The following is a 22170-nucleotide window of genomic DNA, read 5'->3' on the forward strand; positions in this document are numbered from 1 at the left end:
ACCGAAGCCACGCCCAGTTCCTGAACCACGTCGGCTCCCCTCCCCCAACACCGTTCGGAATCCTTGGGTCAACCGCCTCCGTCTCCACAGCAACGGAGTTTCAGAGCGCGCGGCAGCTTGGGGGCGGGGTTCCCAGTCCCCCGGTCAAATTTTAGGACTTTTCAGCAGGAAAGCTGCACAACTGGAGGAGGGCAGGACGAGGCTGGCCTCGCAGGTCGGGCTACGTTCTTCTACGGTCTGAGGCGTTGTCTAGAAACTCAAAATCTCTGGAATCCCATCCAGGACTCCTCCATCAAGATTTCTTCCGATCCTGAGTAACCAAGATTGGAATACTGACCCCTTCAGGAGGCAGCCCATGCCGTTTTTTCCCAACCGCTCTAATCTGCCCCAAATGCTTCCTTATATGAATCCAAATTTGTCTCTCCTTGACCTCTACCCTCTGCACTGTTTCAGCCTCCGCCTCTGGGGCCTTACTAAACAAGTCCAATCACCCTTCCACGTGACCCCTTATCTAACTGTAGGTGGGATTAATGTACTTATCTGCCCAAACAGCTCCAGTCCTTTAAACTGCCTTTTATTGATTGGTAAGTAGACTTTTTTTTCCCCTTTTTTCCCACCCTGCACTCATCAATATCTAAAATATCCTGGTTGGACAAGTTTCCCAAAATAATGATAGTAATAAAAACCATTGTTTCTTGGGCACTGGTTATATGCTATATACAAGATTATTTCATTTAATTCTCACAACCACCTTATCCAATTCCCACAGTGTCTGATTGATGGTGCCAGGATTAGATCCCAGGATTATCTGAGTCACAGATCTAGTGTGCATAACTGCTACACTGCTGTCTACTACTGTTTTAGGCCTGCCAAAATGAGGGATACCCCCTTCTGGAGCTAGATTTACTTTTGTTTTTTATTGCAGTGAGACAAATTTGAGGACACCCTGGGGCAGAGCGCAACCAAAGGTGCCTTGCGGTCTCATTAGTCATATGGAATTCAGCACTGACCAGGGCTTAACTAGCCATTAAGGCCCTGCACTTTGCCTAGAGGTGAGATGCTTCAGTTATCCCAGTGGCCCAGATGAGTGAGGTGATGCAAGCCAGAAACTTAATTTCCCTGGGCACAACCTGATGAACGGGTGACCTTCCACGGGGGATGTTCTAAACCTTTTAATTGCTAACCCTTTTAATTTCTTTGAGGAATAAATTGAGGGAAGGAGGATAGTGCTATCCAGCCACTAGCATCCTTTTTCATTTGGGGGCAAATTTTAATGATGATGCTTCAACTTTTGTTCGTAATTTGGACCATGAAAGGAAGTTTATCTTTCCACCCTAATTCTTTAATATAGTTAGAGTGAGCCCTCCCATCATCACAGTTCTTCATCCCTGGATTTAACCAACTTTGGATCCAAAATATTAAAACATAAATAAATATACAAATAAAAATACAGCATAACAACTATTTTACAGCATTTACATAATATTAGATATTATAAATAATCTAGATATGATTTAAAGTGTAGGAGAGGATGTGCGTAGGTTATGTGCAAATACTAGGCCATTTTATTGAGAGGTGAAGCCAGCTGGACTTCCTGGGTTGAGTGGGGACTTGGAGAACTTTTCTTACAACAGGATTGTAAAATGCACCAATCAGCACTCTGTAGCTAGGATTGTAAAATGCACCAATCAGTGCTCTGTAGCTAACAAGGGGATTGTAAAATGCACCAATCAGTGCTCTGTAAAAATGCACCAATCAGTGCTCTGTAAAATGCACCAATCAGCACTCTGTAAAATGCAGCAATCAGCAGGATCCTAAAAGTAGCCAATCGTAGTGACGATTGAAAAAAGGGCGCTCTGATAGGACAAAAACAAAACATGGGCGGAGACAATAAGGGAATAAAAGCTGTCCACCACCAACCAGCAGCGGCAACCTGTTGGGTCCCCTTCAATGCTGTGGAAGCTTTGTGCTTTTGCTGTTTCACTCTTCACAAAAATCCTTGCTACCACTCACTCTTTGGGTCTGTGCCATCTTTTTTTTTTTTTTTTTTTTGAGATGGAGTCTCACTCTGTTTCCCAGGCTGGAATGCAATGGTGGATCTCGGCTCACTGCCAGCTCTGCCTCCCAGCGGAGGCAGACTGGGTTCACAACAGTCTCCTGCCTCAGCCTCCTGACTAGTTGGGACTACAGGCGCCCAGCACCACACCTGTCTAATTTTTGTATTTTTAGTAGAGATGGGGTTTCACTGTGTTAGCCAGGATGATCTCCATCTCCTGACCTCGTGATCCTCTCACTTCAGCCTCCCAAAGTGCTGGGATTACAGTCGTGAACCACCGCACCCGGACAGGGTCCATGCCATCTTTAAGAGCTATAACACCGTGGAAGCCTGGGCTTCATGCTCGAAGTCAGCGATACCATGAACCCACCGGCAGGAACCAAATGCAGACACATCATTAAGGGACTTGAATATCAGACATTTTTCTATCTGAGAACGTGAAGGGTCCTGGAACTAATTCCCTGTGGATACCAAGGGACCATTGTATTAAAGAAAAATAATTTCTAGAAACAGTCTTTCACAGAAACTTTACAGAAAAATACGAGTTTTTATTTCTTGCTGGAATAAATACAGTTCATCTTCTTGGGAGGGAATAGATAGATCCTATGGCAGCCTGGCCATAGGCTAAATAATTTACATCTGGAAGCCCTCTTTTGTCATGAAAATAAAATAACTGATGCATGGTAATGCCAGAGAGAGATCTGCCAGAAAAGAATTTTCCTGAGAGTCTATAACAACACCGAGGCTGCTGTTAATTTTCATAGCATTTTCTCCAAAATTTTGTTCCTCACCAAAATTTTTTCAGCATTTGTAAGATGAAAATTTTCTTTGTATTATGGCTAGAAAATAAAGTTGAGTCTCTTTCAGACCAAAAAAAAAAAAATCTACCTAATCATTAATTAGATCATTCTAAATTTTGATTAAGTTCTCATAGTTTTAAACTGGGGGAAAAAAAGTCCTGCCTTTTTATTTAAAACGTAGTAAAAAGTTTGTTGGCATTCCGGGATATTTTATTAAAAAATTTAGCTGTTTGTGCGTGTCTCGCTACATTACTAATATTCTTTCTTCTTGAATGTGAACGCACACTTCAAAATAAACCATTACCTGCAATCAGTTTTGCCAGATCACTAGCAGATGATTAATAAAATACGTTGCAGATAAGAAGAGGAAAAAATAGAATAAGCAGAAAAAAAGTAAAATTAAGTGTTATTTAAAAATTGCAGAGATAGTGTCACTAGCCATTTTTTTTAACAAGTGACAGCTGTCCAACCACAATATTGGCAGCAGTAAGATGTTTGCAATATTTATTGTGACAGAAACTATCCAGTTGTTCATCAGACATTTCCTTTTATTTTCTCCTAATATGGGAGTCAGACATTTTTTGGCCTTCCTTATTCTTAGATGTGAACATGTGACTGAGTTCTAGCCAAGCCTGGCCTTGAAAAATGTCCCCCAGCATTCTTCATACCCTTTTTGCTTGATATTGGGGTGGCATTGAAAACCTTGAATCTCTGAATGATTGCTGTGACACAGAGGTCTCTCCTTCCCCTGAAGATCATCTTGCTCCTCCCACCAAAAGCATTTGCTTGGGACTATTATGTAGGTGAGAATTAAACATTTTTCTTAAAGCTGCTGAAGTACTGGGGTTTGCTACAGCAGCAAGGGTTACCGTAACTACCCTAACATTTTTTATCATTTTCATCTGAGAATCACCTGTTAATAAATCTAACACCAGCCAGCCTTTCTGAAACTGCCTGAGAGAAAAACCTTGTTACTTTCAAGGAGGCAATACACAATGCTGGCCACTGTGAGAGGCAGGAAGATCTAATCCCTACCTCCCCACTACCCCATGCATCTAGTGAGATCTCGATCTCACCCTTTACCTTGCTTTCCATTTGCATATACAGTACATTCTTTCGCTTCTTTATCTAGTAAATAAATTTCTTACTTTAAACAAATGGTTTGCATAGTTAAGTAATACAAGAAACTAGTCTTATATCACCTATACTTAGGAAAAAATGTTCCTATTTTTCGGAAGATAAACCAACTAGATCCATCACCTAGCTATCCATATACATCATTTATAATTTTGAAAATGATTTAAAGGAGTTGAACATTTTAAAAGCCAAAAATAAATATTTCAGAATGGAAGAGTGTATTTCTAATATAATCTTTTATAGTTTCCTTGGTAAAGTCCTACCAGAAAACATTTAAATATAAAAGGTTTTCCAAAATTGATTTAAGGAGTTTAAAATAAAGGTTTTATTACAGAATGCTTTTTGCCCAGTTTTGGCCTTTTCCATTATTCTAGGGAAAGTGGTGCTCTAGATAATTTATGATACAAAATGGGAAGATATTATACAGTAACCAAATTTATAAGGGGTTTCGTCATAGAATTGGTCTGTTTAATTTCAGAAAATAGGTGTGAATGACAATGTTCACAATTTGAAGTAGCAAAAGTCATTCAGCCAAAAAAGGACCCTGCCAAGAACAGAAAAAAAGCATTACCATCTGTCATACGTTTATGCTTTTTTGGTATAATAAATTGTTTCCCCCACTAAATATAAGTTGAAACTTTATAAGCATATACTTTACTACATAAATTTTCCCATATGTCAGTGGCTAAAACAAAACTATACTATTTGGAAAATTTTCTTTCACATTGGCAGGGTTACTCCTGGTTTGTTTGATTTAGTTTTTCCAGTATGAGTTTGCATTTGATATGTTTAGCTTACCAAAGACTGTCCACTTTCAGGGATGCATGATTTCTTTAGGCTATGATTACTAAATAAGTTATTTCTTCAAGTATTATGCTTTGATCTTATAATTCACTCTTACTCAGGTGTGAAGTCAGCCATATTACTTTTCATACTTGAAAGGTTTAGCCAACTATTGATGCATCCAGTACTTCCATTGTTGTCAGGTAACAGCAGGAACTATAGACCAAGTCACTTCTAGGCCAGGATTCCAGGTATTCAAAATCCATTTAGCTGCAGCAACCAACTTGCCTTGGGTTAAGAAGGCCTCACAGATGTCTACTGATTTCTCCAGTTGGTATCCTACATCCAAGAACACCTCTCGGTATACATATGTCTTGTTCACACCATGATCTTTGCATTTCTAACCTTCAAAATAGAGTGCTATAATGCCCTGTCTTTGAGTTTTTATTGTGTGTGATACAAAGGGCTAGGTGTCTTTCAGCTACAGGGTCCAAAACATATGGAGAATATTATACCTGCATTCTATGGTCAGCATTAGCTTCCTATTTATTTTTGAGTGCTATTTAAAGTGTTGACTTTAATCTTTAAAACCCCTCATTGTTTAGAAGCCAGTTACTCCAGATATCACATCTCTCCCTATGCATCACTGTGGCAATTAAAATCAGCTGCAGTGCTTGCAATTTGTAATCCCGTGTGAATTCTGGGGAGCCTGGGAGTAGATCACTTTCCAGAGAAGAACTACCCTAAGAACCCTCAGTTTCTGTCAATGATAAAAGCAGTATTTGTAGTTTATAGTTTTGGCCTTGAATGTCTTGTCATATATCTGTAAGTGTCTGGAACCATAATTAAGTGCTGTTGATTTAATTTTTATGTTATTTGTAGTGAGAGAGTTTAGAATACCAAATCTACATTTAATGAATCAGAAAAATAACAACTGTACATAGTAAAAATAGACAAAGCTAAAAGTCATCTGTTTCATATTTGTTAGTGTGGGAGTTTTCACTCTAGTGTTCTCTCAAGTCCTTCTTTGAATCTAATTTTAATATCTTCAGTGAAGGGATTTGCCCTGAATCCTTAGGGAACCATTTCAAAATCCATAACTCATGTAATTTATTTCTCTAAATGCTTACCTAAATGTTTGATTTCTTAATGTTTTATCAGATGTCTGTTACTTATAAATGTGTGCTATGTTAAATAATAACTTTCTTTTTGCTGTATACAAGGTCCAAAAGCTATAGTTGAGGTAAACCTACTCCAATCTAACAGACTACACCAAGTAATATTATGCCAGATCATGGAACATTCTTTTGGAGAGAACAGATGATTGGTAATGGGGCTCTGAGGACCTGGTAGCACTGTATATGTGGCTTAGGTGAAGAGTGGTGTCTACCACTTTTCTTACCCATCCGTCTTCAACTTCTCATTCCTTTTTCCAGCCTAACCCTCAGCCTTCTTCAAAAAATTCAGAATACCACTAGGAAGATTTCCAAATGACTTCCTAGGAAGTTTGTCTCTGACTATGATCTTGTAAATGTTAAATGCAACTGTGTTACTCACCTTTTTCTGTCTTACCATGTATGCCAAACCATAGTTCCATGAATTAATTTTGCTTTGCTAGATTCCAATTTTCGTGTAATATCTTGTTATGGAGGGAACCCCAACCAAAGGCTGTAGGATACCATAGTGCCCCACTTATTGAGAAGGGGTTATCATTCAGTAGGACCCAATTACTTCATTTCCTCCTATATTTCAAGCTCACAGATCATTTGCTTACCTAATAACTATAAAATGCTCTTTCTTAGTATTTTATACTATATTCATCTCTTGGTAAGAAAATGTTTATCTGATTAAATAAAATTGTATTTCCTAGTTGACCGGTGTTGCCATTTAGAGGGATGGGAATGCTAGAAAAAGAAGGTTCTGGAGGGGTTGGGTGGTAGGTGAGGAAATTATGATTTTGGTTTTAGACATGTTCAGTGTGTGTACCGTTGAGACATCCAGATGTCTCAGGCAATTGGATATGTGGGCCTGGTGCTCACAGCAGGGATAGACATGGGTGAATCATCAGCATATGAGGTTGAGTTTGCCTGGAGAGACCACCAAATGAACAGGGGAGCAGAATCTAGAGCTGAACCTTTAGGAGACTGTGGTTGTGAGAAAGAAAATAGATATGCGACCAAAGAGGTGTGTCACTGGAGCCAAAGGACAGGATGAGAGCATTTCTAAAATGTGGGAGTGTCCAGCAGTGTTAAATGCTACTGAGAGGTCAAGTGAGAAAGACTGAAAAATGCTTGCTGGATTTAGGGAAGAAAAGGTCAGCAGTAGTTACCTACTCCACTTTAGCTACATTCACTTGAATGCATTTCCTATGAAGGTAATTTTTCCTACTGTTCTTGGGTCAAACTGATCTGTAAGAGTGATTTTTTTAAAAAAATTACATTTCTGATAGTTTGATATGTGGTAGATTTATGGGCTGAAAGAATTAATATTGTTAAAATGTCCGTACTACCCAAGGTGACCTAAAGATTCAGTGCAATCCCTATCAAAATTCCAGTGGCATTCTTCACAGAAATAGAAAAAAAAAATCCTAAAATTTATATGAAACCACAAAAGACTCTGAATTGCTGTAAAGCAACCCCAAGCAAAAAGAATAGAGACAGAGGTATTAATATTACCTTACCTGACTTTAAACTAAACTACAAAGTTATAGTAATCAAAACAACATGGTACTGGCATAAAAACACATAGACCAATGAAACAGAATAGAGAACCCAGATACAAATCCATGTATTTACAGTGAACTTATTTTCAACAAAGGCTGCAAAAACATACCCTGGAGAAAGGACAGTCTCTTCAATAAATGGCACTGGGAAAACTGGACAACCACTAGAATAAAACATTGGAGAAATGCTTTGGAACACTGGCCTAGGCAAAGATTTCTTGAGTAGGACCTCAAAAGCACAGGCAACAGAAGCAAAAAGGGATAAATGTGATCTTATTAAGTTAAAAAGCTTCTGCACAGCAAATGAAACAGTCAATAGTGAAGAGACAACCCACAGAATGAGAGAAAATATTTGCAAACTATTTAAATGACAAGAGATTGTTAGCTAAACTATATAAAGAACACAAACTACTCAATAGCAAAAAAAATTTTTAATGTCAAATAATTGGATTAAAATGTGAGCAAAAGATCTGAATAGACATTTCTCAAAAGAAGGCATACATATGGTCAACAGGTATATGAAAAATTGTTCCACATCACCAAACATCAGAGAAATGCAAATCAAAATCACAATGAAACATCATCTCACCCCAGTTAAAATGGCTTTATCGAAATGACAAAAAATAGCAGTTGCCAGTGAGGATGTAAAGAAAGATGAAATCTTGTACACTGCTGGTGAGAATGTAAAGTAGTACAGACACTATGGAGAACGGTATGGAGGTTCCTCAAAAATCTCAGAACTATTGTATGATCTGGCAATCCCACTGCTGGGTATATATCCAAAAGAAAAGAAATCAGTATATTAAAGAGATGTCTTCATGCCCATGTTTATTGTAGCACTATTCACAATAGTTAACATATGGAATCAACCTGTGTCCATCAATGGATTGGTGGATAAAGAAAATGGGGTACATATACACAATGAAATATTATTTGGCTATAAAAAGGAATTAACTCTTGTTGTTTGAAACAACATGGATGGAACTGGAGGACAGTAAGCAAAATAAGCTAGGCACAGAAAGATAAATATTATATATTCTCACTTAAGTGTGGGAGCTAAAAGATTGATCTCATGGAGATAGAGAGTAGAATTATGGTTACCAGAGACTGATTAAGGTAGTAGGGACTGGTGGGGAATAAAGAGGCGTTGGTCAATGGGTACAAAAATACAGATAGATGGAATAAAATCTAGTGTTTGGTAGAACAATAGGGCAACTATAGTTAATTTTATATTTCAAAATTACTAGAAGACTGGAATTGGAATGTTTGTAACAGAAAGAAATGATAAGTGTTTGAGGTAATAGATATCCCAATTACCCTGATTTGATCGTTACACATTGTATGCTTGTATCAAAATATCACGTTCTCTAGAAATATGTGCAAATATTATGTATCCCTAAAATATAAAAATAAAAATTTTGTTTAAATCGTGTAAACTGCGAAAATCATATCTATTACAATACACAGTTTTTATTGTATACATTTTCTTATTTGTAATTTTTTTCCTTTTTTTGAGACGGAGTCTCGCTGCGTTGCCCAGGCTGGAGTGGCGCTATCCCAGCACGCTGCAAGCCCCGCCTCCCGGGTTCACGCCATTCTCCTGCCTCAGCCTCCCAAGTAGCTGGGACTACAGGCGCTGCCACCATACCTGGCTAATTGTTTTCTATTTTTAGTAGAGACGGGGTTTCACCGTGTTAGCCAGGATGGTCTCGATTTCCTGACCTCGTGATCTGCCCGCCTTGGCCTCCCAAAGTGCTGGGATTATAGGCGTGAGCCACCGTACCCGGCCTGTAATTTTTTAAAGATATCAGTGAGCACTGGCTTCTATGCACAGTATAAAGAAATTTTCACAACACTGGCATCTTTTAAGTTTTAAAATGTAATAGTAAGGAAATCATCTTATTAAAATCTACTTTAAGCATGTTTTGTGAATGCATCAGTCTGAAAAGGGAGGAAGGATTATGTCATACTGAGGGAAAGGCCCTATATTGCATTTCTGTCCGCTTTCAAATACACATTCTCAGAAAACGTCCAACAAAAGTTTTACCATTTGGTTGACAAAAATGAATATAAGGAAAGGATATGAGAAAAAAGAAAGCACTTGAAGTCAGACAGTAGGAAGCAAAGGAAAACGTTAAGAAAAGACTCATTCAAAAACAAAATTTCAGCCAATGCACAAGTCTATCAGCAGAACAAATAATGCTTCTAAAGGTGGTGGTGTAGGCTGGTTTCTCTGTCTCGCTCCACTTCTGAATGAATCTGTTCAGGTCTTCTGCCATTTCCTTTATGGGAGCCAACTGTTTCTAACTCTGCCCACCCAAATAACAGCTTTATTGGCTCTTTCTTATATTTCAACTATATTAAACAAAACTTCATTGTCTGTTATGCTTTGATTTTTGTGCTTTACTTTTTGTTTTGTAAATAGCAGTACCTTCTTTATGCTCCCATGGTTCTTTCTTTCTTTCTGTCTGTCTTTCTTTCTTTCTTAAAGCTGGTTAGTTATAATCTTTAGGCTTCTATTTTTGTTCAAAATCAAGTTACACAATTTGCCAATAATCCACATTTTAAAACTTTTATGATTATTTTTGAATAACTGTATGCACTTCACCTGAGCCGGCTGTCTTAATCCTTTAGAGTGTGGCTATTTTCCACTATTATACTTTTGGGTAATAACCATTGCCAATTTTATCCCACTAAGTAAATTCCTCATTTTATGGAAATTGTTTTTATAAAGCTTAAGTTACTCACATTTATACCCATAATCTCTTCTCCCTCCCTGTTCAGTCTGGTAGTCGTTTGAAACCCTATTAAGCTATTTGTTATCACAGTTTCTAAAACTCCTCCTGATATTAGCTGTTCAACTTGTCATATACTCCTTCTTCAACACAGGAGGCTAATTAAAAATTGGAGAATCCAATCACAGGGCTGAGAGGCACTTTCACAGGGCATCTTGTGCTAAGAGAACAACATTCTTTCTCCTGGGTTCAATTCCCTTCACCGCTCCTTGTAGGCTGTTTGATGACCTTGAGCAAATTATTTAACCCCTCTTTGCTTCACTTTTTTGTTTTGTTTTTAAAAATGAAATGGGAATAATTATGTTTGCATTGTAGGACTGTTGTGAAGGTGAAAGTCGTAGCTATCAATGATTAGAACAGTTCATAGCACATACTATGCCCTTGATAAATGTTAGCTAATATTTTAAACATTAATGTTTTATTTTAGAATAGTTGTAGTTTTACAGTAAAGTTTCAAAGATAGTGCAGAGGGTTTGCATGTATCCGCATCCAGTTTCCCCTATTGGTAACATCTTAAATTAAGTATGGTATATTTGTTGCAACAATGAACTAATATTAATATGCTAACGAATAGTTTTAACCCAATGTCCTTTTTCTGTTCCAGGAGCCCACCCAGGATACTACATTACATTCAGATGTCATGTCTCCTTAGGCTCCTGCAGACTGACAATTTCTCAAACTTTGTTTTTGATGACTTTGACAATTTTGAGGTGGTATGATAATTTGTGAAGTGTTTCTCATGCTTAGCCTGGAGTTACAAGGTTGGAGAAAAAGACCAAAGATGTGAAGTGCCATTCTCATCACATCATGTCAAGGGTACATGCTGTTAACATGAATTAACATCGATGATGTTAACCTTGATGTCCTGGCTGAGGTAGTTTATTAGGCTTTTTCTCTACAAAGTTACTCCCCTCCCCGTACCTTTCCTTACTGTGTTTTTGGGAAGGAAGTCACTACGTGCAGCTCACCCTTAAAGTATGGGAAGTTACACTCCAACATGCTTTAGGGGGGTAGTATCTATTCCTACATAAATAACTTGAAATTTTTCTGTATGGGAAATTTTCTACCTCATTAATTTATTTATTCAGTCATTTGCTTACCTCAGTAATGACTCATGAATGTTTATCCTTTGGGTTGTATTCCCAATGTACTATAATATTTATTTACTTTATTGTTCAGTCAGTTGCCCTAGCTTTGATATTTGCGAGGTCTTTTAATTGGCTCTGCGTCTCCTTAATATACCCCTTTATTGGATTTTTTTTCTTTATTTTCTGGCACTACAGATGCTTCAGCCTCATTCATCTTGCATATTACCTGACCCTGTCCTAGAAGCAGCCAGTTTTCCAAGGAGCCCTGGTTCTCTTTCCTGGAGAATGGTTGAACATGCTGATTGCTACTGGAGTATCTTTTGTTTCTAGGCCCTCTCAGTGGACTGATTTAAGAAATAACCCATGTATACACACACATATATATATATACACAAAATTACTTCTTTATCTATTTCTGTCTATATTAAGGTAAACACGAGTTCACACTGATATTTCCCACTCTAATCCAGTACCACATGTTTCCTTCTAGCCTGCTAATATTTTATTAGCTATTCATTCATTCACTTATTGATTCATTGAACAAATTTTGTTGAGTGTCTATTATATGCCAGGCCCTGTGCTCAGCACTGAGGATTAGAGAGTCTGGCGGATACTATCCCTACTCTCATGTAGCTTAGAATCCAGTTTACATGTTACATTTTTACTTTAGTTCTTTGGTACTACCAAGGAATGACATCAATCACAACAGCCTATTTCCATATCTCTCTGCATTTTCCCACCATAGTCCATTCTCCCACTTCCAAGATGGCACTACTTTCTATTAATCATTCGTTTTCCTCTCTACCCTCATTTCTCCTCTGTCAGCTCTTTGCCCTGTGGGGTTTTCACCTTTCGTTAAAACACTCCAGCAGAAGAGTGGCTTAGTGCTAAATAAGAGTAGTGTTAGTGTACCTCCCAGTTGTGTTGCACATTTGAAAGGTCTTTCACATCTCATTTTTGAGTATAGGATTATGTAAAGAATCATACGGTATTACCAAGGTGCTTTGTTTAGGGTGGCATCTTATGATTGCCACTCACATGTAAATTCATATGGGATTTGTTATCACCTACTGCTATCTCGAATTGGAGGACCTGTGTTATTCTCTTATGAAGACAATCTCTATTGATGCAAAACTGTAAAGTACCTCTGATTTTAATGCTTCTCTTTTCTGTTTACTGAAAAGATTTTCATGCTTTTAAAGCTTTAATGATTTTAATACTTTTCTTTGCTGTTCATTGAAAATCTATCATTATATCTCTTTCACTCTGAAGGTCATTATATTTGCCTTCTTTTTTCTTGAGTAAATGTTCTAGAAATTTGTCAATGTTACTAGTCTTTCAAATAACAACTTTGGGCTTGTTTGATCCTCTCTATTGCGTGTTTGTTTTCTGTTTCATTATGTTTTGCCCTTTTTAATTTCCTTACTTTTATTTTCTATATTCTGTTCTCAAATTTATAAAGTTGAACGCTTAGCACATTAATTTTAGCCTTTTAAATTTGGTAATATAATCATTTAAGCCCTCATGTTTCCCTCTAATTGCTACTTTGGCTTCATATCACAAGCATTAATATATAGAGGATTTATTATTATTTAGTGCTTTACAATTTCTAATTTTCATTGTAATTTATTTTTTGACCCATGAATTATTAGCATTTTGATTTTGTTTTCAAATGTGGGTGAGTTTCCCCCAGTTATCTATTTAATTTTGATTTCTATTTAATTGTGTTATGAATAGTTTTTTTAAAATGATGTTCTTTGAATTCTTTATCTGTCTAATCTGCTGTTTAACATTTTATTGTATTTTATTTATTTATTTTTAAAATTTCAGCTCTTGTACTTCTATATGATTCACTTTTTCTAAATCTACCTGGTACTTTGTTTAGAGAGTATCTTATTCCTTGATCCACTTACTGTTCTCTTTTATTTCTTTTGACATATTAAGCATACTTACTCCATATTCTTAATTGATAATTCTACCATTAGAAGCATTAGGTGTGCTTGAATATATCTTCTTTGTTTCTACTCTTATTCAAGGACTGTTGTCTCCTTGTGCATTTTATTATTATTTTCTATAAGTTAATATTAATGAAATATTTCAGGCCTGGATTGAAGGTGTCTTTCTCTCATAAATATGTGTATGCGAATTCTTGATTTGAAGTTTTGTGGATCACTTACTACAAACCTGTGTGAAGGTGGGCTTGAAATCTCAGGAAAAATTTATTTTTCACTCTGCTCCAGAGCTGGGACAAGCAAATTTCTTTGCTGTCATTGTCTGTGGAGTGGGATTTATGTACGTATGCATTTCAGTTTTCCGTTTTACTAAGGGTATATATACTCCTTTGGGTCTCAGCTCTATGTGGGAGTCTGCTATAGATTGCCTATGTGTAGAGGCTATGGCTATTTTCTCTAGTCCCTCCACTTTTCTCAGGGTTGCCAAAATGGAAGCTCATGGTCACTTTGATGCTTCTTTATCTTTCTGGTTTCCTGCTTTCACTTTGTCTTTTGGCCTTTGATGAATTCCCTTCTATACTTGTCAGCTCAATTATATATTTTTAAAAATTATTTTATTCAGAATCATAAAGTATTTTGTAAGAAGAAGGTTGTTCATTGTATTTAGTGTATCATGCTGTCAGAAACATAAATTTTATAATCTTTCTTCAAATTGTCTATCCTTGACAAGGCAGCTTTAAAAATGAAACAATAAAACTATGAAACAGAATGTAACTGCTTTCCTTTTAAATTAATTATCCCCACATTGAAGAATTCCTATGACCAATTGGTGAAAGTCTGATAATTTTGCTTCAATATTTGCAGGCTTATGTGTATTTATAACACCCAAGAAAGTATGTATATTTTAATGTGAATTTGTTTGCATGAATTTATTTTTCCTTAAATTGATTTTTATACTTTGCTTCTCCACCCTAAAAATGAACTAATTCTGTCCAATGATAGAAATATTTGGATATAAGGGAGGAACCTATATAAGGTGGTAAAATATCTAAAAAATTCAACCATAGGACTATTCCTAGGAAGAGCCCAAGGTCTTTAACCCTAATCCCCTCCCTCTCAAAAATTAGACAACACACATAAGCCAAAATACAACAGAAGGATCTTCTGAGACTGAGATTGAATAAATCTCAGTGTGGAATAAATGCCATTGCCATCAAAGACATTATCTACCACATGAGAGAGGGATACTGAGCACATATGTGGGGCAGAGGAAATCCTTTAGTCAAAGGTCACACATTACTAAGCAACAAACTGTACAAAGTCACTTACTGTGGGAAAAACATAGATATAAAAATTCAGATTTGAGTGGAACTATGCACTGGATTTATTCTTTTTTTTTTTCTGGTGTATTGGGCCCTACATTGCCTTTGAGAAATGAACAATGCACTAACAAATATGAAGGAGGGTGGTTAGAAAGAGATGGAGTGGGCTGCTGGTGGTATAATGACTCTGTGTTGCATTTCTTGAGCATTTTGAAGTAGGAGAGAGCAGAAAAGAAAAGTACGAAAAGCATGAGGAGGAAGGTACTAGGGCTTAGATTTTCAAAACAGAAAGACTAGTTGTAGCAACCAAGTGGAGGAATGTCGGGGAGCTTTTTGGATTTTCTTTGTTTGGCTAAGGGGAAACTAATTTTGTCTTGATTCAGATTCCCTTTATAATTGCCTTTTGCCTCTGCATTTATATCCAGGCATAGTATGGAATAATCGAAGAACTCTATTCAACTTCCTGTCAAACTTTCTTAAACTAGAAATACCTGACTTTTCTCAATGAGTTGCATGTCCAGTGTCCATTGAAATGCTGATGTAAAAGTATCTGTCTGAAATACTTGTAAATCACAACTGTAATACGGATAGTTCTATACTTATTAGATTCTATTTAGCAGCTCAGGAAAGGAGAAAGGACAGATATTTTCCAAACCCCTAAGTTCAAATTCAGAATGTTCCCAGCTTTACATAAAGTGAATATTTATTTTTTACTTTACTTACCCTTTTCATTTTCATTAGAGCCTTAAGATAGGTATTTATCTGAAAAGACATGTACTTACACAATTTAATTCTTGCTAATTGGGATTCACGCTGAGATAAATAAGAGTTCAAAACTTTGCTTTGCAGAAATTCATAAGACTTAAGTTCAGCTGAAATATCCAATTCAGAATATTGCAGCTCTGAAATTGAGTTAGTCACTCCCTCCTCATGTATTGCATATTGTCACCATGATTTTGGTTAAAATCATGATTCTGATTATGGTTGGCAGGCACAATGAGAAAAATCTTTTTATAAGTTTTCACAGGGATACACTCACCAAAAAGAAGACCAAATTACTGGTTCTCACTTCAATAAATATTTTTACATATACTATGAAAAACACCATTTACCCATAGTGCCAAAAACAGATTGTAGGAAGCCTTGGTAAAAGGAACATTATTACAGTGCTTAGCACATATAAATTCAGTAAATATTAGGTTTTCATTTTCATTTCTTCTTCTTTATTCTTTTCCCTTCCTCCTCCTCCTCCCCGTCTCCTTCCTCCTCCCCCTCTCCCTCCTCTCTCTCCTCCTCCTCCTCCCTCTTCTCCATTACCCTTATAAATATATTTCACCAGTAACTTGTAATAAGGTTGTGCTGAGGGTCTCTGATAAACACTATCTCACACATATAAAATCTCCGTGGCTGTTTTATTTTATTCTAGCAACTAATGCTTCTACTTCATCTCCCATATTAGTCAGAAACCTCCCTTTCTCTATCTCCTCTTCTGACCTCTCGCTTCTCACTGGGATCTATCTCGTTTTTTGTTGTGGATGCTGTTTTAATGTCAGGAAAAAAGGATTCCTCTCCCTGTTTCAGCCTGGGAAAGGAGAAGGGATAAATATTTTCCCAATCTCCCAAGTTGAAATTCAGAAGGAATTGCCCTAGAAACTAAATCTAAATGACAGTAACCAAAATGAGGAAGCAACATTCAGGCTTATAAAACGTTCTCTAAGTTATAACAACAAAGAAGCTGATCAGTGGGAGGATAGGGTGAAACTGTTCTCTGATTCAGAGAAAGAAACCTCCAAACTCTGGTAGTTTCAGAAAAGAGCTAGAAAGGACTTGAATGAAGATAGAGAACATTGCATGGGTGAAAGAGTTGGCCCAAGCAAAATTTCGAAGAGGAAATTACTGTGGTGTGTGTGTGTGTGTGTGTGTGTGTGTGGTGTGCTGGTCAGTTGGCATGTGGGTAGGGTACAGCAATGAGTACAGTGTGATTGGAATCAAGAATGCATTCAAATAAAGACAGGCCAGATATAAAATCGCCAGTGTTAAGACAGATTACAGAAGCTCCTCTTGGAAAATTTTAGGAATATGCACCATGATGGGTTTGACTTCTGGGTCTGGAATTCTGTTAGGCTTTCCAATAGGCCTACACTCCATCTAGAGACTCAGTTCTGACCCAGGCTGTGTTAGTTCATTCTTGCAGTGCTATAAATAAATACCTGAGACTGGGTAATTTATGAGAAAAGAGTTTTAATTGTCTCATGGTTCTTCAGGCTGTACAGGAAGCATAATGCTAGCATCTATTTCTGGGGAGGCCTCAGGAAGCTCACAATCATGGAAGAAGTTGAAGTGGAGGCAGGCATCTCAGATGGTGGGAGCAGGAGCAAGAGCATGAAGGGGGAAATGTCACACGTTTAAATGAACTGATCTCATGAGGAGTCACTCACTATCATGAGAATAGTACCAAGGCGATGGTACTAAACCACTCATGAGAAATCCACCCCCATAATTCAGCTCCCACCAGGTCTCACCTTTTGGGGATTGGGGACTTTTCTTTCTCTTTCTTTCTTTCTAAGTTATAGCAATAAAGAAGCTGATCAGTGGGAGGATAGGGTGAAACTGTTCTCTGATTCAGAAAAAGAAACCTTCAAACTCTGGTTTCTTTCTTTTCTTTCCTTTGTTTTTTTTTTTTTTTTTTTTTTTTTTTGACAGAGTCTTGCTCTATTGGTCAGGCCAGAGTGCAGTGGCATGAGCTCGGCTCACTGCAACCTCTACCTCCTGGGTTCAAGTGATTCTCCTGCCTCAGCCTCCCGAGTAGCTGGGATTTTTGTATTTTTAGTAGAGATGAGGTTTCTACTAAGCCATTGCCCAGGCTGGTCTCGAACTCCTGACCTCAAGTGATCCACCCGCTTCTGCCTCCCAAAGTGCTGGAATTACAGATGTGAGCTACTGTGCCCAGCAGGGATTATATTACAACATGAGATTTGGGCAGGGACACATGTCCAGTGGACAGTCATGCTTCTGGGACTGGACTGACTTTGCAGCCAGCTTCCCATCACCAGGCTTTTGCCTCGTTCCTTGGTTCCAAGAGCTGCTCCTTTGCCCTAATTCTAGTATTTGGGTTTTTACCTTACTTCCCCATTCCTGGGTTCTTATTCTGTTCAGGATCTAGGTAACAATACATTCCTACATTCCTCTCATGTTGGAATCCTTTCTCCTCCAGCTTCTCCTGCCCCTTACTCTGCCTTCTTTGATATTCCCATACATTGGAATCTTTCTGTAAAAGCTAGTTCCTTTCACTGACACCAGAACTCTTTCATACCCAATTCTTTCTGAAAGTACTACCTGTAGCCTACCATAGAGAATATCCCCAAAACCACCTTGCCATTCTGGGTGGATCTGTAACATTTCTGTTGCCTACTTGTTTCTGCTCTGTCTACTGGTTATGAGATTATACGTTATCTGGAGATAAACTTTCATTTTGTTACTCCTTACTTCTGAAGATACCATGCTCTATTCATATTTATTTATCCCCAGGGTTTAGCATATAGAAGGAACCTAGTAAATCTTTGTTGAAAGGATAGAATTCATTTGCTTTCTAGGCCTTCTATAATTTGGTCCCATTCTCCCCATCCCTCTTTTCTTCTCTTTAACACATTCACTGTATTCCAGTTAAATTTGTCTTTGAATAATAGCTCTTCACATCATAGCTCTTCATCTTCCTCATCCCTTGCGCAGCATCACAGCTAGTCAGTATTTCCAGGACTTTGCTCATGCTGATCCATCATTGAAATGATACCTTCTCTCTTGTTCTTACATCAAGCCTTGCCTCCTTTACGAAAGGTTCATTAATTAGCCAACATTAACAACTTCTCTTTTTGGTAATTGCTTCAATGTCTTAATTGGGTAATCCTAATGATTAAGGGAAGGATCCCCCAGTTGTTACAATCTCTTTCTCTTTGTTTCCATTGTTCCTGGGTCAGTGTCAGGCACACAGTACAACTCCGGGCTTACTGTTCGTTCAGTTGATTGCTGCGGGTGTTGGTCCCAAGCACAGAAAAGGCAGTCTCCTCCCACAACGGACTTTCATGCAATCTCTTTAAGGGCTCGCTGGTCTTTGATGCCTGCCTTGTTAGGCACATAGTAGGTGTTGGAGGATTTGGAGTCAAGAGGCCCATGTTCAAATCCCAGTTCTAGCTGTGTGATTGTGGGTAAGCTACTTAACTTTCGTTAGTCTCAGGTAACTCATAAATAATAATTAAGTAATAATAGTAATTTCCCCACAGAGTTGTTAGGAGGATAAGACGTGATAATGTGTATGAAAAGAGTTTTATAAAGTGCTTGGTAAGATTGGTTAGTTTTAAAGACTCAATAAAATATGCTTGAATAAATGTGTCAGAGCATTACTCATCATTCCACGTGTGGCATCCAGATGAGGAGGCTCTAAAATTTATGACAAAATGGTTTGACAGAAAACTCACAGGATGCCAGCCACCTCATCGGTATTTGCTGTGTTCTTTCATAGTGTGTTGTTTTCTAAATTTTTTTCTTCTTCATTTTAATTAGGTCATGAAGTGCTCTCCAGTTAAGATCCTCACCATCTTAATTAACACTCAGACATGCTGTGCTGTTTATCTCTATTTTTTTTTTTTTTTTTTGTCGCTGAGGTCATTTTACATGATCTCCTTGTCCTAAATGAGGATCACCACTTTCCAAGGAGTGTCTCTTTAAAAGTCGCCTTTGCTGTTTCCCTCCTCTGAGTCCTCCATGGATAGGCTATGTAGGTTAATGGGACAGGTTGACTTGGAGGGATCCCCCTCTCCTCTAGCAACTTTCTGCACCTCCTCTTCCCTGCTGTCATTCCAATGGTAAGGATTCCAAATGGGAAGGGCCTCTATGTTGGTGATACCAACTGCTGAACTGCAAATGATAACTCATTCTGGTGTGGTGTTGACAGAGGAGAAAGGCAGAGAGAGGCATGTTCCCCAGCAGCAGGTGGTGGCACTGGTCCAAGGAGAAGTATGTGGACAGTCTTTGACAACAGCACATGCCTGGCTTAGGATGTTTTTTTTTATCCATTTATTATGACCAGCTCCAAGAATAGGGAAGAACTTGGCAGAAAAGCCCCAGAATGCAGGCTGTGCTAGTCAGCAACTGTAGTGGTCAATTACTGGGATATTTCATTATATTTATTTATTTACTTATTTTTGAGCTACATTGGAGGCTGTGAGTGGTGGGTAGGTGTCAAGTTGCTATCTTTTAACCCAATAATTTCAATTCTAAGTTGTAAGTAAAAAATTAGTTGTACTGTTGTTGGTCGCAGTATGTTTATGGTAGGTTGGAAAATAAACTAAGCTTTTAACAATAGAAACTTGTTTAATTAATAATGGCACATCAAAATGATGAAAGATTAGGCACTCATTAACATGATGCTTCAGAAGAATATTAAATTACATGGAAACTTTTCAAGGTATATTAACTACAAATCAGCAAGTTACCAACATAGATTGCACAGTCTGATCTCAAGTTTATATCAGTGTGGGAGGCAGTATATTTTATGGGATACAAGCACATCCTCAGGAGCTAGGTTGCCTCTGTTCAAGTAACAGCTCTACCACTTAATATGTATGTAGCCTTGGGCAAGCCACCTCTCTATGCCTCAGTTTCTCCATATGTTAAGTGGAGATAATAATTTTGCCAATCTAATGAGATTGTTCTGAGGGCTAAAATAATCCACATAACATGCTTAGAACAGTGCTGGCTCACAGCATTCCTAGAGTAGATATTAGCTATTCTTATAATACAGTCATACACACATAACATTTGGTCAACCGTGGGCTCCATGTATGGTGGCATTTCCATGAGATTATAATGGAGTGGAAAAATTTCTATCGCCTAGTGATGTGGCCATCTCAACATCACAGGGCAATTCATACCTTCTGTGTGTTTAGATACACAAATACTTACCATTGTATTACAATTGCCTACAGCATTCATTATAGTAACATGCTACACAGGTTTGTAGCCTAGGAGCAATAGGCTATGCCATAACAGTATAGGTGTGTAGTAGGCTATGCCAAGTAGGTTTGTGTAACTACATTCTGTGATGTGTGCACAACAACAAAATTGCTCAATTGATGCATTTCTCAAATGCATCCCTGTCATTAAGTGATGCATGGCTGTAATTATATATGCATAAAAGGGATAATACTAAAATAAGAGTGATTATCTCTGAATGGTATGATTATGATTTATTAGAATTTTCTTCATTGTGTATATTTATACCTTATATCTTCTACAATAAATACATAATATTTTATAATATGAAAAATATAGTGAAAGTGGTTTAAAAGTGCAGTTTGTTACTAAAAGATTAAAATACAGAACTTTTTTTTGCAAGGAAGATACTCCACAGATAAATTAATCTGAAGTGCCAAAAGCTATATTAGGTTGTTTTCTAAATTAAAAATCCTGTTCAACCCTAAATATTTATTTGGCGAGGACATTGTTAAGATATTGTCCTTTAGTAATATCAGAATCTAACTTATTTTTGTTTTTATTAGATGAACTCTCTTGGATAGAAGGATTCAAACAGAAAAATGCAAAAAGAAGTCAGATGGAAAACTCTGGAAAATCCAAGAAGGGAGCTAGTTGATGATGAGCAAAGCCACATGTGCTGTCTTGACAGCCATAGAGAAGAATGGAGGCCTCCATACCTGAGTGGAAAGAGAAGAACATGGGCAATGATTTTGTCTCTACAAAACAACAACAACAACAGACAAACAAAATTAGCTGAGTGTGGTGGTGTGCACCTGCAACTTCACTACTTAGCAGGCTGGGGTGGGAGGATGGCTTGAACCCAGGAGTTCAAGGCTATAGTGAGCTGTGATTGTGCCACTGCACTCCAGCCTGACAGAACAAGACCATGTCTCAAAAGGAAAAAAAAAAAAGAAAAGGAAAGAAGAAAAGAATTTAAAAAGAGAAGGGAGAATGAGAAGAGTCACAACTTTGATAAAGTGGGGAGCATTGGGTTGGGTATGGAATGGTAGTAGTCTTGTCTAGTTCAGAATCAGACAGACCTGAGTTTAGTCCTTCACATCTACCCTTTTACCCTTCTTATTTTATTTCCCTTCCCTTCCCATTTTGTTATTCATTTAATAAAGTTTCTAAATTCTACTTTCTTTTTGGTATTATGGTAGGCTTTGGGAATGCAAAGTTAAATGAAATGTGTCCTATACCTTCAAGGAGGATTGGGCCTTGTGGTGGTGATAGCTGACTCAGCAGACAATCACACAATGGTGTTTTCAGTGCTTTGGTACAGGTATTCATAGGGTGCTGCAAGAGCAATAGGACTGGTAATGAAGTCTGCCTTTGTGATGAGATGGTTGGTGGTGAGACACATGGTGGGTGGCTTCTGACAAAATGGGGCATAGGATGAGTATTGTAGAAGTTAGCAGTAGACAAAGATGGAAAGAGGAAACAGCATGTATAATGTACTAGGGTGATACAGTAGTTTGAGGAACC

General features: G+C 37.7%; 1 long non-coding RNA gene across 2 annotated transcripts; it reads left to right on the plus strand.

The window, feature by feature from the left end:
* On the plus strand, window positions 1–21822 carry LOC105378930 (uncharacterized). Of its 2 annotated transcripts, XR_947746.3 has the most exons (4): window positions 1–584; window positions 926–1052; window positions 10898–11167; window positions 21210–21822. It is a non-coding gene; the product is annotated as an uncharacterized LOC105378930 (long non-coding RNA). The 2 variants fall into 2 exon arrangements; XR_947745.3 differs by lacking the exon at window positions 926–1052.
* Window positions 21823–22170: the final 348 nt, after the last annotated feature.

Source organism: Homo sapiens, chromosome 1 (genome assembly GCF_000001405.40).
Source record: "Homo sapiens chromosome 1, GRCh38.p14 Primary Assembly".
Lineage (NCBI taxonomy): Eukaryota > Metazoa > Chordata > Mammalia > Primates > Hominidae > Homo > Homo sapiens.